The sequence below is a fragment of the Homo sapiens genome, chromosome 1 (assembly GCF_000001405.40).
Source record: "Homo sapiens chromosome 1, GRCh38.p14 Primary Assembly".
In the NCBI taxonomy this organism is placed as follows: domain Eukaryota; kingdom Metazoa; phylum Chordata; class Mammalia; order Primates; family Hominidae; genus Homo; species Homo sapiens.
In genome coordinates, this window is record NC_000001.11 from 171,250,151 (window position 1) to 171,265,504 (window position 15,354).

Below are 15,354 nucleotides of genomic sequence, written 5' to 3' on the forward strand. Positions count from 1 at the left end.
ATCCCAATTACTTAATAATAAGGTTTATGTGCCTGCTGAGCACTGCACAACTTCTCAAACCTTGGAATCAGATCAGACATGAACCCTTCATTTCTATTCTACCTCAGTTTTCATGCAATACTTGCTTTTTGTCATAGCAATTGTCAAACACCCAGCTTTGCAAAGATATGATGTCAGCAAATGGAACACAGTCTTTTACAATATTAAAACTGTTAACTACTTTCAGCTAATACTTAGCATAGTGTTCAACTGACATCAAGAATCACTGTGCTTCTTCAAAATTTTAAAATAGCTCAGAGTGCCGCTGCAGTTTGGTAATGACAGGCGTCACCTCATGTTTTGACCTCTCATGATCTACTGTCCTACTAAACCAAAGCGGACACTCAATCTGACTTCAGTAAATTATATATTTGCATTTTACAACTTTCAAGAAGAGGAAGCAGTATAAAATTCACAAAAAAGCATAGTAGTTTCTAACCCTGTAGTTAAAAATCAGTCACTTTTATACAACCAATAGCGATTTCCCAACTCATTTAGTAATTTTATGTTGCTTAAGTTATTTTACTTGTTTTTTTCACTCAATTTTCACCCATTGGCATCTACCTTCCTAATTTAGTCCTATTTTCTTATTTTTATCTCTTATTTATTTTATATTTAGTCAGCTTTACTGAGGCTTTTCTCATTAAAATAATAATAATAAATTTATCTTAAAACTTCCAACAACGGAATGGCCAAATTTTTATTAAATATCTATGCTGGGGTTCAATCAGGCTGGTGGGAAAAATATTAAAGATAGTTATGGAGATAGACACAAATCTTCTTGGAAGGCCGAGAAGTTTGCATAACTTCAGTAATAGATATGGTTGAAGGCAACCTGATCTTTACCTTTAGTTAAACAAATTAAAGTAGTAACAAAGGAAGGCAGAGTAGTTTACCTACCTAGTTTGTTTACTCATGTGATCTTAAAACTAACCTTTGATGTACGGCAGGTGCTTAAGTGCTTTTTACTTGGGAAGTCCATAATATCAATTACCCTCTAACGGTGTTGACTCAAGCTTCTGTTAATTAATCTTACCGAATAAATGTGAGTCTGACTAGCTGATCAGGGCCAAGTCGCAACTGTTTACAGGACTCAGCAGGGAGCCTGTAAGTGGCTCGGACCCTCAGCTGGACTGGCAGGGCAGAATATCTGTGTGTCAATGTACGTTTATTCATCCATTGCTGGGTCAGGGGTCTGCAAGGGACAGGCTCCCCGCAGCTGGTGCCCCCTCGAGAGGGGCGCTGCCGCAGTTGGTACCCCGTGTGAGAGGCGCTGCCGCAGTAATGACTTACTGATAACTCACTGACTTGACCGCGCGGGTTCTTTTCTTACCTTCGTTTTCGGGCGGTTCGTCGCGTTTCCTTCACAGCATTCCTCACACAGTTCCTCACACAGCGCCTCACATGGGGCACCAGCTGGGGGCAGGGCTCCTCTCGAGGGGTCACCAGCTGTGGGGAGTCTGTCCCTTGCAGACCCCTGACCCAATGACCGGTGAATAAAGTACGCTGACACACAGATATTCTGAGGGTCCCAGGTGCTTACAGGCTCCCTGCCGAGTCGCAACTGTTTACAGGGCTCAGCAGGGAGCCTGTAAGGGGCTTGGACCCTCAGCTGGACTGGCAGAGCAGAATATCTGTGTGTCAGTGTACTTTATTCATTCATCGCGTGGTCAGGGGTCTGCAAGGAACAGACTTCCCGCAGCTGGTGCCCCCTCGAGGAGCGCTGCCGCATATGCACATAAGGAGCAATAACATTTTTAATGTTTTTGCATTTGCACGTGAAATCGCACTCCAATAAACAGCGGTGGCATGTCAGTGTGCTTTTCACCCCAACAAAATCCCCTATAAATTGTTATCAATCACTCTGTCTAAATGCAAAGCAGTCACTAACAAGAAATTATTTTTAGTTTAAATAAAAAGTGGCGTGGGGAGACAAAACTTTTTCTGAAGAAGCACACTTAAATGTTTTAAACCACTTTGGTTTCCTCCAGGCCTCTCAGGTAGGCATGACCAGCTACAGGATGCGATGCCAGATCCTCCGATCCCACCCCAGGCCCTGCCCCTGCCCTCCCATGAATGGTTAATATATATATAAATATCCATTTTAGCAGTGACATTCCCAGAGAGCCCCAGAGCTGTCAAGCTCCCTTCTGCCAGGGTGGGGGTTCAGACTGTCCTGTCACCTCTGGGGTGCCTATTGGCATCCTCTCCCCCTGTGCTTACTAATACAGTCCCTTCCCCATACCCATCAAAACTGGACCAACTGCCCTCGTCTCTTTCCCTAGGGCCAAAATTTAGGGGCCTCAGCCCCCCGCCATGCCTCTCCTCTTTCCACCTGGCCTGTTCTGTCCCTGAGCCCTGTGCTCTCCATCCATTCCATGGCTGAGAGTCGGTGATGCTGCCTCTGCCTTCTGATGCTGAACTGGCCTTGTTTCTACAAGTACGCTTCTCCCACAGCTGTGGCTGCAGGGACTTAACTTACAGGGAGGGGCCTGTGGCAGCTGCCACCACAGCCACAGGTGCACTGTGCTCACCACACATCTGGTGCAGCCTTTTCTGGCAGAGGCTCTTGTGTTTTCTCATTTTCCGTTCCTCTCACTGTGGCTAACAGGTGGGGGTGAGGGGACAGAAGAGGGAGGGCTGCCTACCACGGTCTGGGGCTTCAGGAATATGAGTTTGTTTATTTAAATGAATCTCAGTCTTTCAAATAAAAAATAAAAAATCAGTTTGATTTCATATAATTGTCAATACTTGAAGGAGTGGTTGGAAGCATGAATTTTGATCTGAGAGTGAAGCTGATATTGATATTGTGCGCCTCCACATTCATGTGCTCTCATGTTGGCTTTTCTCACGTTTGACAACAACTCATATGGGAACATGGTGATACACCAAGCAGATCTGAACTGAAAACTTAAAAGAAAAAAACAAAAAACCTTTCAGGGTGACTTTGAAACCGACTTTGTGTCCTTTTTTCTTTCCCTCTCTTTCTTCTATCATCATTCTTATATTTCCCTACTCATTTCCTTCACTTTCTAAAACACAATCATTAAACACACATTTCTAGTTTACCCCATGGCTCTGATTCCAGATATACTGTGACTTTGTCTTCATAAATAAACCTGAAATTTTCAAGTCAGACATCCACAAAAATATCAAATTAAACCCTCTACCTGCACCACGAAAAGCTCAAAAGACTGCCAGGCATGGTGGCTCATGGCTATGGTCCCAGCTACTTTGGGATGCAGAGGCAGGAGGATCACTTGAGCCCAGACATTCAAAACTAACCTGGGCAACATAGTGAGACCTCATCTCCTTAAAAAATAATAATAAGGGAGGCCGAGGCGGGTGGATCACCTGAGGTCGGGAGTTCGAGACCAGCCTAACCGACATGGAGAAACCCCATCTCTACTAAAAATACAAAAGTAGCCAGACGTGGTGGTGTGCACTTGTAATCCCAGCTACTCGGGAGGCTGAGGCAGGAGAATCGCTCGAACCCAGGAGGCGGAGGTTGCAGTGAGCCGAGATCATGCAATTACACTCCAGCCTGGGCAACAACAGTGAAACTCCATCTCAAAAATAATAATAATAATAAGGAAAAGCCCCAGGGAGATTTACTGCTCAGAGAAGTCTGACTACATTGGTCCAGCTGAGGTATGGTGGTGGCCCAGGTAGAAGGCTTCTGTATACTGGATGTTTAACAAAAAGTTGTGTATTTTTTAAGACTAGTCAAGTACAGTAGTGAGAAAGGGGGAAAAAGTAGAACAAGGAGTTCAATCTGTAACTCTGTAACTGTAAACAATCAATCGAGTTAGCGTACTACCTTTGGACTAGCCAATAAAAGGTAATTTTGAGGAAGGAATCTTTGACCTAGGATATTAGCTTACAGCAAATTTTTACTGAGTTAACTTTTTTTTTTTAAAATGGAGTCTTGCTCTGTCACCCAGGCTGGAGTGCAGTGGCACGATCTTGGCTCACTGCAACCTCCACTTCCCAGGTTCAAGCAATTCCCCTGCCTCAGCCTCCCAAGTAGCTGGGATTACAGGTGCACACCACCATGCCCAGCTAACTTTTTTGTATTTTTGGTAGAGACAGGGTTTCACCATGTTGGCCAGCTGGTTTCGAACTTCTGACCTTAAGTGATCTGCCCATCTCGTCCTCCCAAAGTGCTAGGATTATAGGCATGAACCACCACCCCGGCCCGAGTTAATTTTTAAATTGAAATGGATATAGATGATAAATGAATTCATTTTACCCATCACAAAATCAACCCATTGCCAAATAGTTACACAACAGCTATTATAGACCAAGTGTGTTGTTAGGAGCTACAAGAAAATAAGAGATGAGCCAAAGAAAATGCCTACTTTGGGGAAACATATACCTTATATATACAGAAGACTAATAGACATGATCAGTTCATCAACAATGTCTTATGGATGATACACTGTCGTTGGTCTAGCACTCAAGAGTAAGGCAAGCTTACTGTGGGGTCAGGCAGCTTCTCACACCTCTGTGACCACCTCCAGCCCCTACTCTCAGTGCTCCCTAACTCTAGAGCCCACTTTCTTCCCTTCTCTGCCCACTGAAGTCTATTCATCCTTCAAAATCTGGAGCAAATAGTAATCGTCTGTGTTGTTTTCCTACCAACCCATTGTCAGAATTGGCACCTCTTTCTTTGTGCTCTTATTGCAATTTGTACATAAGACATACTTCTGTCTTAGCATCTTACACAGAATCTTGTAATTATAGATTTTCACGTCTCACTTCCCTACCAGACTGATTGCTGCTCTAGAGAAAGCGTCATGCCTTATTCTTCCTTTGCAATCCCAATACACAAACTTGGGCTTAGCAATATAGAAACCACGGAGTGTTTGATGCCTGAGCTCATCAGAGAATGAATCACAGATCTGAGTTGATAGAATGTTATAGGGCATTTCGTTTCACCCTCTATATAATGTGTTAATCTGCTTATAATACCTCCAAATATTTGTCATCTAGATGCTGCTTGAATAAAGCCAATTTTAGAGCTTGAAATGCTGGAAGGTGCTATAAGCAAAAATGTGCCTTTTCAGTTCCACCGCTGGCCATAATTCTAATCTTTCTCTCCATGTTGATCCTTCAAATGTTTAAAGGCAAATGTTTACATTACTGAGTCAGGTGCTTAGATTAAGAGACAACTTAGATCCTCTTTTGCAAAGTGAGCCCAGGGCAGTTCAGTCCCCTGCTCAAGGTCTCCACAGCTAGCTCACAGCAGATCCAGGTCTCCAGCTGTACTTCCCTCTGCTCCAGGCACTTGGAGTAGGTAGTTCCTTCTTACTAAACCAGCCAGGTGCTTTCAGTCAGCAGTGGGTACCTGAAACTACATTCTAGTCAAGGAAATATATAACACTGGTCCTTTCTACACTAGGAGCCCATTCCTTCTGTCTGGGACACCCTTCTGGACACCCTGGCAGGATAAACACTACTAGCCTTTCTCCAGGCCCCCCTCTACTGGCCTCCTCTCTAGTTTCAGGGGAGATAGGAAAATTGCCTCACCCTCTTTCTCATCCCAGCTCATGGAAATGGCTCCTCACCCTCCCCTAACACAAAGAACCTGCTTTCTTTCCTGCTGTCCTGCTGTGGGCACTAATGTCATGCTATGGTCAGACCTGCTGTCTTTATAGAGCCAGCATGCTTCTGTGCACAACTGCCAATATCATATGTATATATGCAATACTCTTTCCTTTTTCCTGGAATTGTTTTTCTCATAAAAGTGGATATTCTTTATCAAATGGCTACTATGTCATACAAAAATGAGTAGCATTTGGCCGGGCACAGTGGCTCACGCCTGTAATCCCAGCACTTTGGGAGGCTGAGGCAGGCTGATCACGAGGTTAGGAGATCAAGACCATCCTGGCTAACATGGTGAAACCCCGTCTCTACTAAAAATACAAAAAATTAGCCAGGCATGGTGGCGGGCGCCTGTAGTCCCAGCTATTCAGGAGGCTGAGGCAGGAGAATGGTGTGAACCTAGGAGGCAGAGCTTGCAGTGAGCCGAGATCTCACCACTGCACTCCAGCCTGGGCAACAGTGCAAGACTCCATCTCAAAAAAAAAAAAAAAAAAAAAAGAGTAGCATTCTATCCCATCTTGCGAGTGAGTAAACTGAGGCTCAAAAGGGGTAAGTCATTTTCCTATATCACCAAGTTGACTCATGATAGAATAGGATTCTGAAACACATGTGTCTACCCCCAATACCCATACTTCACAACTGCCTCTCTAAATGTGGGGTCACCTTACTCCTGTTGGGCCCAGAGAGGGGAAAATTATACAAGGTTTTTGATTTTATAGTGTCCTTCAGGGCCTAAAACATGAATTCCCCTAGAAGGAATCTACTGGTTCTTCCCCAGTAAATTATATCCAGTTGCTATGGGAAGCAACCAGCCCTGCAACACTTTTACATGTTGCTTGAAAAAAGAGGACCTTTTTATTTCATTAAAAAAAATTGAGCATTTTAGTCTCTACAGTTAAGACTAAAATATTGAATATTTTAGTCTCTACAGTTGAGCTGCTTCTCTCAGGTTCCTAATCCAAAACAAAAAAAGATGCATATCCAGCTTTGAGAAGAGAATTCACCTGTGAAATAAAAAATAGCAAATTTTTAGAAAAATTATGTCTTTGGGGGCACTGCACTTAACAAACTTAGGGAGATAAAACTGTCACAAAAATATATTGGGGGAAAAGCTAACATCACATAATTTAGTGACAAATGTGTGTGCTACTGACCAGAAATGCTATAGGAATTAAAAGAACAGAGGCTCATTGATGTGAAAGGCAGATACCAATTCTTGGAAATGCTTTTAAAGTTTCAATAACTTACAGCTACTGAGCACTTACTATGTGCCAGGAGCTATTCTGAGACGCCTTACATTATTAACTCACTTGATTCTCACAGAACACTTCAAGGAAGCTACTATTGTTTTCTTTATATTTGTGATGCACAGAAGGGTTAATCTGTCCAAGATTACACTGTCGTAACTGATAGAGCCGCGCTTTATCTCAGGCAGCCTGGATCCAGAGCCTGGTTGCTTAATCAATGCACTCTGTTGCCTCTCGGTGTTCTTACACATGTGTGTTATTAACACATGGCCTGGTGCCAGAAGATTCTCTGGCCCATCCCAGTGGTGACTGTGCCATGTGCCCTGGAGGTGAATCAGTATCCAATTGAGAAGGGAGGGATGGCTTTGCATGCCTACCTTTCTACCACAAACCCTCCCTGGCAGCCACCCTCTCTCTCTCCCACTGGTGACCATCACTGGTGACCTGTGAAAGGGACACACCAACAGCACAGCTGGGGCCCTGGCATTGTGCCAGGGGCAGGATCACACAGGGCAGTGCCGCGGTAGCACCCGTGGTGCCACAGGTGTGGTGGCTCCTGGTCCCAACTCCACCCCACCAGCTGCTGTGTGGTGTTGTGTCAGGTCACCACACCAATCGGAGCTTCAGTTTTGTATGTGATAAAGAGATTGTGTCTGACAAGGTGACCTTTTCCTAGTCTGCTGATCTATGCAGTTCTAGGGCCACAGAATGGAGACTAGAGGCAGCAGCTCAGTCTGAAGTGCAAGACTTTATCCAGTAAAAGGTCCAATTCCAGCAGCTCTGCCAGAAGCTACAGCCTTGACAACTGTACGAACATTTGGCACTGGTGCTGCATGAGGGGCGGGAACATACCAAGCACAGGGTTAACCAGTGACCTGAACATTTTCCTTCTCACATTCACACACCAGAGACCCGCTACAGAAGATTCAAACTGAGCAAATCGCCTAATCTTCCAAATTCTTTTTCCTGGCTTGTTAGAGCAGCCAAGGGTGGGGTGGAGCTTGTGAATAAAAAGCCTGCTTCATCTTCCTCATGCAGGAGAACATGGCCAAGCGAGTTGCCATTGTGGGAGCTGGGGTCAGCGGCCTGGCCTCCATCAAGTGCTGTCTGGAAGAAGGACTGGAGCCCACCTGCTTTGAGAGGAGCGATGACCTTGGGGGGCTGTGGAGATTCACCGTAAGTGGGGTTTCAACAACTTTATCTGTCTATTGGAGAATGGCTTGGCAGCTGGGAAATTATATCTGTGCTTCTTTCACAAGGGTTGGTGGCCTTGAGGAAGGTTAGAAATGTCTGCTGAACAGGGGACCATGAGGAGCCACTGAAATTGTAAAAGAAACAGGACATGGGTGAGCTAGGGTGGAAGTCAGAACAGACTTGTACACTTTATCTAGAGCCAAGGGGAAGAAGTGTTTCCAAAGATGCCCAAGAAGTATGGAAGAGAATGGAGTAACTGGGCCAGGCCAGGAAAGCCTAGGAGCAAAGGAGCAGGACCAGGGCGTCTGAAGCAGGGCCAGAGACGGCAGTGTTAGGAGCAAGAGCAAGAATTTCAGCCTCTGCCTGCAAGACTGAGCTGCTTTTACCTGCTTCTTTTCCCAGCCTGGCTCCGTCTGCATTACAGACTCAGGGCTCTGTGTAGGATGAGCTCCATAATCAAGGTCCTGCTGACCTGGCAATCCCAGTGCAGGCCAAGAACAAACAGAAGTAAAGAATGTGAGTTTTGAGTCTTTTTTTTATTCCCTGAGCAGAAGAAAAGTAATATACTCAAGTCTCAGCAGGGTTACTGCCTGGATCGGAGAAAGGAATGAAGGGGTGAGGACCGAGGAAAGGGGACTATAAAGCCCACCCTTGCCTGGCCTGGGGCCCCACGAGATCACAAGGGCCCTTCTTAAAGCCATTGAAACCCTGAAGCCAGGCAGGGAAAATGTTCCCTGAACTCCATGGCTTAGTCAGGGAAACATTTGCATCAAATCTTTCCAGAGTTTCTATTTTCCCTCCTTTTGAGCAAAAACATTTCCCATGAGCTTTAAATTTGCTGAGGAGAAAGCTGTCAGAAAGAGTGAAAAGAAGCAAGGTATCAGATAGCCCCGCCTCAGATCCCCTGAGGGGCTGAGAGAAAGACACAGCATTTCTCTGTTACAGAAGGGTAGAATTTGGAACTGAAGTAAAGTAATTATTTTCTAGCTCAGTGAGTAAAACTCCAGAGAGGCCAAGGTTACTAGTTTAGTCACAGTCCTCCAGCATAGGCGGCTTGGCTCACATAAAGAACTGCATATCTTAAAGTGTACCCACCAAATGTGATCATCAATGCATGGAGACTGCCAAAGAGGACAAGGTAAAAGAGCATGCCTCTTCTCAGGAATCAAACCACATATGTTCCAACAGGATGGCAGAAACCTGACACCTAGGCCAAAAATCTCCCCACTCCCATGTCCATCGAAGACATTATTATCAAACATGATGCCTTTCCCCTAGGGAGCCTCAGAATCCTTCTTAACATTATTCCAAACAAGCATACCTAATCAGTCAGGGTCAGGAGTTGGCTTGAAAGATGAAACTGCCTAACTAAATTAGCCGAGTTATTTGACTAAAGTAATCTCAGTCAAAACAAAAACTAAACCTAAAGATCAAAAGCAGTACTTAGCCTCTTGCAGCACCAGACATAAATGCTCCTTGTATAGGTCACAGGCACCTAATCATCAACACTAAAAATCACTGATCTAAGAATCAAGAGAAATGAGTCTGGATCCAGCTGGGCCCATTTCCAGCTGTGTGATGCAGGTAGGTCAAACACCAGTGCACAAAGCACAAAACCCTGTGGGGGACACAAAAATGAGGATTCACCCTGCCCTCAGGAGCTGTCAGGTAGATGGAAGAAGGCTAGGATTCTGCAAGTCAGAAACAGTGCTGTGAGCATTTCATTGAGAGCAGGATGACAGCCACATTTAGGAAGCCAGAAAAGGCTTCACTGAAGAGGTAGTGTGTGATGGACTTTGAAAAATTTCAACAGGTAGACAAGATTGAGCAGAAGACACCAGGGAGGGTAGGGACAGTAAAGAAAAAGTACTGGGCATATTCAGAAAGTAAAAATAGCTTTTTGGTGCATAAGGTACACGTAAGAGGAAGAATGGGAGGGAAAAGGGTGGCTGCATGTTTGGGCAAGGGGTTTATACTCAGTTTTAAAAGCAATAGGTAATGAGGAACAAAATTAAGGAGATTTCCTGGTTGTCGCGTTTGTTTTGTTTGCATGATAGGAAGACCCAAAGATTTTTGTAGGCAAATAGAAACTATCTGGATGACCAGAAATAACTGAGCACATAAATCCAAATTGAGACACAATCCTGGCAGGAAAAGGGAGGAGTGGAATTGTAGGTACCAGTGGAAGGGTTAGCCCTGGCAAGGTGGGGAGACAAGAGATACACCCTCCCCAGAGATTGGAGGGGAAGGGAAGGTGAACATGGAAGAGAAATTTTGAGGTAGAGGAAGAAGATATAAGAGCACTCACACCAGAGGCCCTCAATTCTATCGAGAAAATATGGCACCTGCAAGGGTAAAGAGGGTGTGGGGGTGGCAAATGGGGTTGGAGAATTAGAAAAATAGAGAAGGTCAGCCAGGCACGGTGGCTCACGCCTGTAATCCCAGCACTTTGGAAGGCCGAGGTGGACAGATCACCTGAGGTCAGGAGTTCGAGACCAGCCTGGTCAACATGGCGAAATCCCATCTCTACTAAAATACAAAAATTAGCCAGGCATGGTGGCATGCACCTGTAATCCCAGCTACTCAGGAGGCTGAGGCAGGAGAATCGCTGGAACCTGGGGGACAAGATTGTACCACTGCACTCCAGCCTGGGTGACACAGAAAGGCTCCATCTCAAAAAAAAAAAAAAAAAAAAAAAGAATATTGTGGAGAATGCAATAGGACATCAAAAAGATTAGTAAGAGGAATATCAAGCAGTAGCCAAGGTAAAATGGCACCCAATTTACAAGTCATTCCAGCTCTATTACCTCATTTATAAAATGAAAACATGGGACCAGTATGAAACACATACAAAAGCTGAATTAGTAACGGGCTTAGGAAAATCCACCCTCACCTTCATGCAGCAGCCTTCTCTTGACACTGCAGCCTTTTTAGGCACCTCTGTAATACCTTGAGATTTCTCTAAAGCTTGACTGGACATTCCTAAACTAGGCAATCTTGAAGGTGCCTTCAGCTCTAATATGCGATGAGTCTCCTGAGTCTTTCTAGAGACATTCCTTTCCCTCCTTCCCCAACACACACAGGCACACACACACACACACACACAAAAGGTTAGAGATGTCTTTGCACTCAAGGTAGGTGGCCCATTTAAAACCTGTAAAATCAAAAACCCTGCCCTGGCAATGGCTGTGCTTGCTAGAAAGTGTTCAGAAGGGAATTCTTACTGCCTTAGGGTGGAAGGGACCATAATGCAAAAGTAGAAAGGCAAATTGCAGAGATCCAATAAAACACATGTGGTGACAGTTTCCATTTCCAGATGGGGAGAGGCCCCAGAGAATATAGACATCATAAATTACTGCATTTTGGCCAGGCGCGGTGGCTCATGCCTGTAATCCCAGCTCTTAGGGTGGCAGAGGCAGGAGGATAGCTTGAGCCCAGGAGTTCAAGACCTGCCTGGGCAATATAACAAGACCCCGTTCCGTTCTCCATAAAAAGGAAAAAAAAGACAAAAATAAATAAATAAATTACCGCATTTCATTGGATACTCACAATGTCATGACTCTGGCCTCTCCCAGCTACCACAGTTTTAAGGAAAAGAGAGATAAGGCAGGAGTTACAATGAAAAAGAAAGAACATCATACACTGGGGAAGGAGAGAGGGTGGAAACCATTAAAAAGAAAAATGCTACAGGGATAAAGAACCACTTCTGACCCAAGTAGAGGCTGGACATGTGTGTGAAACACTTCTCAGACTCTTGAGAGGGAGGGGAGGCTTAGGAAAGTAAAACTGTAGGTTGACTATCGCCATTAAAAAGTGATACTTGAAACAAAATTTGAGGAATTATCATCAAATATTACTTTCAGAGAATTTTAGTATAGGAAGAGACCTTGGAGAATTAGAAAAATAGAGAAGGTCAGCCAGGCACAGTGGCTCACGCCTGTAATCCCAGCACTTTGGAAGGCCGAGGTGGACAGATCACCTGAGGTCAGGAGTTCGAGACCAGCCTGGTCAACATGACGAAACCCCATCTCTACTAAAAATATGAAAATTAGCCAGGCATGGTGGCGTGCGCCTGTAATCCCAGCTACCCAGTCTTCAGGTAAAAGCACACAGACATCATCTAGAGGTGACTAACAGTACTGTGGGGTAAAAATACACTGTGCTTCATCCTTCACCTCCCTGTAACATTTGCTGGGGCCCAGTAACCCTCCCTAGAATGATATTTTCCTCATGTGCATCCAGTTCTTTTCCTCCGCACATGCACGCTTTCATTTATTCAACAAACATTGATTGAAACCCTACTATGTGCCTTACATACCACATTTTTTACATTCAGTGAGGGCAATGATGAAGTGTAAAAATACTTCACACTTTTAAATCACAAGAATAGTTCCTCAACTATTTCTTCTTTAGGTTTGGTAAATCTGATTCCTGTAACCTTTCATTAAAAGCCTTATTTCTAAAACGTCTATTCGTATATTCAATAAACATTTTTAATTACTATCATCCTAGTGGGGTACCCCTGACAGGCCCCTATCCTCATGGAGCTTGCATTCTTGGAGGTTCCCCAAATTTCCTCTGAGGTTTCCACAGCTCTCCTGCGATATAGACCCAGAAACTGGACCCTGTCCTCCAGTGAGAGTCTGACTCTCACACTAGGCAGAAGGGGCAACAAAGTAAAATGGGTGCCAGCTGTTTTAAGGAAATTAAAAGAAGGAAGAAATTAACATTCTTGGAGAACAGGAGACGTGAATGTTGTGCATATAGAGAGAAGGTCTCTATTTAGGGGTGAATTTTATTATCACTTTATATCCGTTTTTAAAATGAGAAAGAAAAGAACTGACCTGACAAAATTTTCTTCCCATTGCCTACACTCCTGCCTGAAGGATACAAGCTTAAGAAAGTAAATTTCCATGGTAGCTGTGAAAGAATAATACAAATAATGATTAATATTATTGACAGCCTAGAGGCATTGTTCCATTAGTACCATTAGCATGATACGATTGCTTCATTGTTCCATTAGCATGATAGCTATCACTCCAATTTCTCCTAGGGGCTATGTAATATTGCGGTTCCAGCATATAGATATGGAAACTGAGAGAAGTTAAGAAAATTCCCAGATCAGCCAGCTAAAAATGTAGAGCTTGAGTATGAACCTAGGCAGTCTGACATTGAGGCCTATTCTGTTAAGAACTACATTGCATGCATTTCTGGAGTCTGTTTCACAGCTCAAGAATCAGGCAAATCCTGGGCTGCGTCTCAAAGAGTCCCAGCAAGTGTCCCAGTGGTGATGGTGACCTCCCAACTGTGCTGCAGGACCAAAGTGGACCAGAAGGACAGAAACACCTCTGCTCATGCTCTTAGTCTCTTCCCTCTTTCCATGGTTCAACCCTCCTCTCCTTTTTTCTCTACTCACTCATTTTTCTCTTCATGAAAACAAAAATCTTCTCCTAAGTCGCCCCATCCATTTTTAGAGGGCACGTGCTTCCACACTCGGAGTTCAAGGCAACTGGTGGACCCCCCACCAGGTACAATTCCCAGAGTGTCTGCAGCACGGGTGGGAGGGTGCAGTGTGGGTATTGAAGGCTGGCAGGGCCTGGGAATCACTGGGGCAGATTGCACAGTGAGGCGAACACTGGAGGTGAGGGGCCAGGTCCCACCAATACCATTCAGAAGGGGCAGGGACTCATACTCCCTGTATATATGCTAAATACTCCAGACCTTTTCTATTTCCAGGAGAAACAATCAATAGAAGGAAAGAGAGACAAGAGTAAGTATTGGTCTTAGATTTTATCCTAAGGGCTAAGTTTCCTCTGTAAGCTACAGTTTCTCATATGTTAACATCTGTGATACATTATTTCACAACAGGCTTCAGTGTTTCCTGGAAGCGCTTCATCTTTCTGCCTTGAAAATTATCTTCCTACGTTTTGAGAAACAGAAGGGTTATTTTTCCCTCTATTTTTGTTAGTTCATTGGCCTTAAGTTCTCATAAAATAAATGGTTCCCTGGCTTATCCAGTTCCAATGAATTGCTGATATTTAAATATGCCATTACAAAATGCTTTAAAATTTTTAATTTGTGTGTGTGTATATATATATACACACACACACACACATTTATATATATATTAAATTTATATTTATATATAGAGAGAAAAATTATATTTTGGGTATATTGAGTTAAATAAAATATACTCTTAAAATTAATTTCACTTGTTTCTTTTTACTTTTTTAATGGGGCCACTGGTAAATTCAAAAGTGTTTATGTGGCATCTATACATCCTATTGGGCATCCTAAAGCACTCTCACTCAAAATATGGTCCATGGGCCAGCAGCGTCTGCATAGGAGCTTCTTATAAATGCACAATCTCGGACAGGGGCAGTGGCTCACGCCTGTAATCTCAGCAATTTGGGAGGCCGAGAAGGGCGGATCACGAGGTCAGGAGATGGAGACCATCCTGGCTAACATGGTGAAACCCCGTCTCTACTAAAAATACAAAAAATAAAATAAAATTAGCAGGGCGTGGTGGCCGGCGCCTGTAGTCCCAACTACTCGGGAGGCCGAGGCAGGAGAAAGTCGTGAACCCAGGAGGCGGAGCTTGCAGTGAGCCAAGATCGGGTGACTTCACTCCTTCCTGGGCGACAGAGCGAGACTCCATCTCAAAAAAAAACAAAAACAAAAGAAATGCACAATCTCAGGCTCACCCTGACTTACAGAGTCAGCATCCACATGTTTGTTAGACTACCCAGGCAATTCCTAACAAAATTAAAAGGCGCTGAGCTACAGAGCTGTGCTTCTCAAACAGTGAAGAACAATCAAGTTTTTTTCCAATTAATTGTAGACTGTTGTCAAATATAATAAAAAAGAATCCGGCCGGGCGAGGTGGCTCATGCTTGTAATCCCAGCACTTTGGGAGGCCAAGGCAGGCGGATCATGAGGTCAGGAGATTGAGACCATCCTGGCTAACACGGTGAAACCCCGTCTCTACTAAAAATACAAAAAAATTAGCCAAGCGTGGTGGCGGGTGCCTGTAGTCCCAGCTACTCGGGAGGCTGAGGCAGGAGAATGGCATGAACCCGGGAGGCAGAGCTTGCAGTGAGCAGAGATTAAGCCACTGCACGCTAGCCTGGGCGACAGAGCGAGGCTCCGTCTCAAAAAAAGAAAAATAAAAAAGAAAAAGAAAAAAAAAAAGAATGCTTAGAAAAATGAAAATGACACAAACAAAAAATACAAAATGTAAATTTGAAATTTATAGAGTCAGAAATTA

The 15,354-nt window shown here is 44.1% G+C and overlaps 1 protein-coding gene and 1 long non-coding RNA gene across 9 annotated transcripts in view; one reads left to right on the forward strand and one right to left on the reverse strand.

Moving 5' to 3' along the window:
• The window catches only part of FMO1-AS1 (FMO1 antisense RNA 1), a 131,518-nt gene extending 129,779 nt beyond the window's left edge, over positions 1-1,739 (reverse strand). For both annotated transcript variants that reach the window (XR_922278.4, XR_001738291.3), the window contains exon 1: positions 1,373-1,739. This is a non-coding gene — a long non-coding RNA (FMO1 antisense RNA 1). The remainder of the gene's footprint in view (positions 1-1,372) is intronic.
• FMO1 (flavin containing dimethylaniline monoxygenase 1) overlaps positions 1-15,354 on the forward strand; it is a 37,485-nt gene that overhangs the window by 1,657 nt on the left and 20,474 nt on the right. For 6 of the 7 annotated variants that reach the window (XM_005245038.5, XM_006711241.5, NM_001282693.2 and 3 more), the window contains exon 2: positions 7,932-8,069. In XM_005245038.5, coding sequence (XP_005245095.1) covers positions 7,938-8,069 — 132 coding nt within the window. In that variant the 5' untranslated portion in view covers positions 7,932-7,937. Of the gene's footprint in view, positions 1-7,772; positions 8,070-15,354 lie in introns of those variants that run through there. The other variant, NM_001282692.1, reaches the window with a different exon arrangement.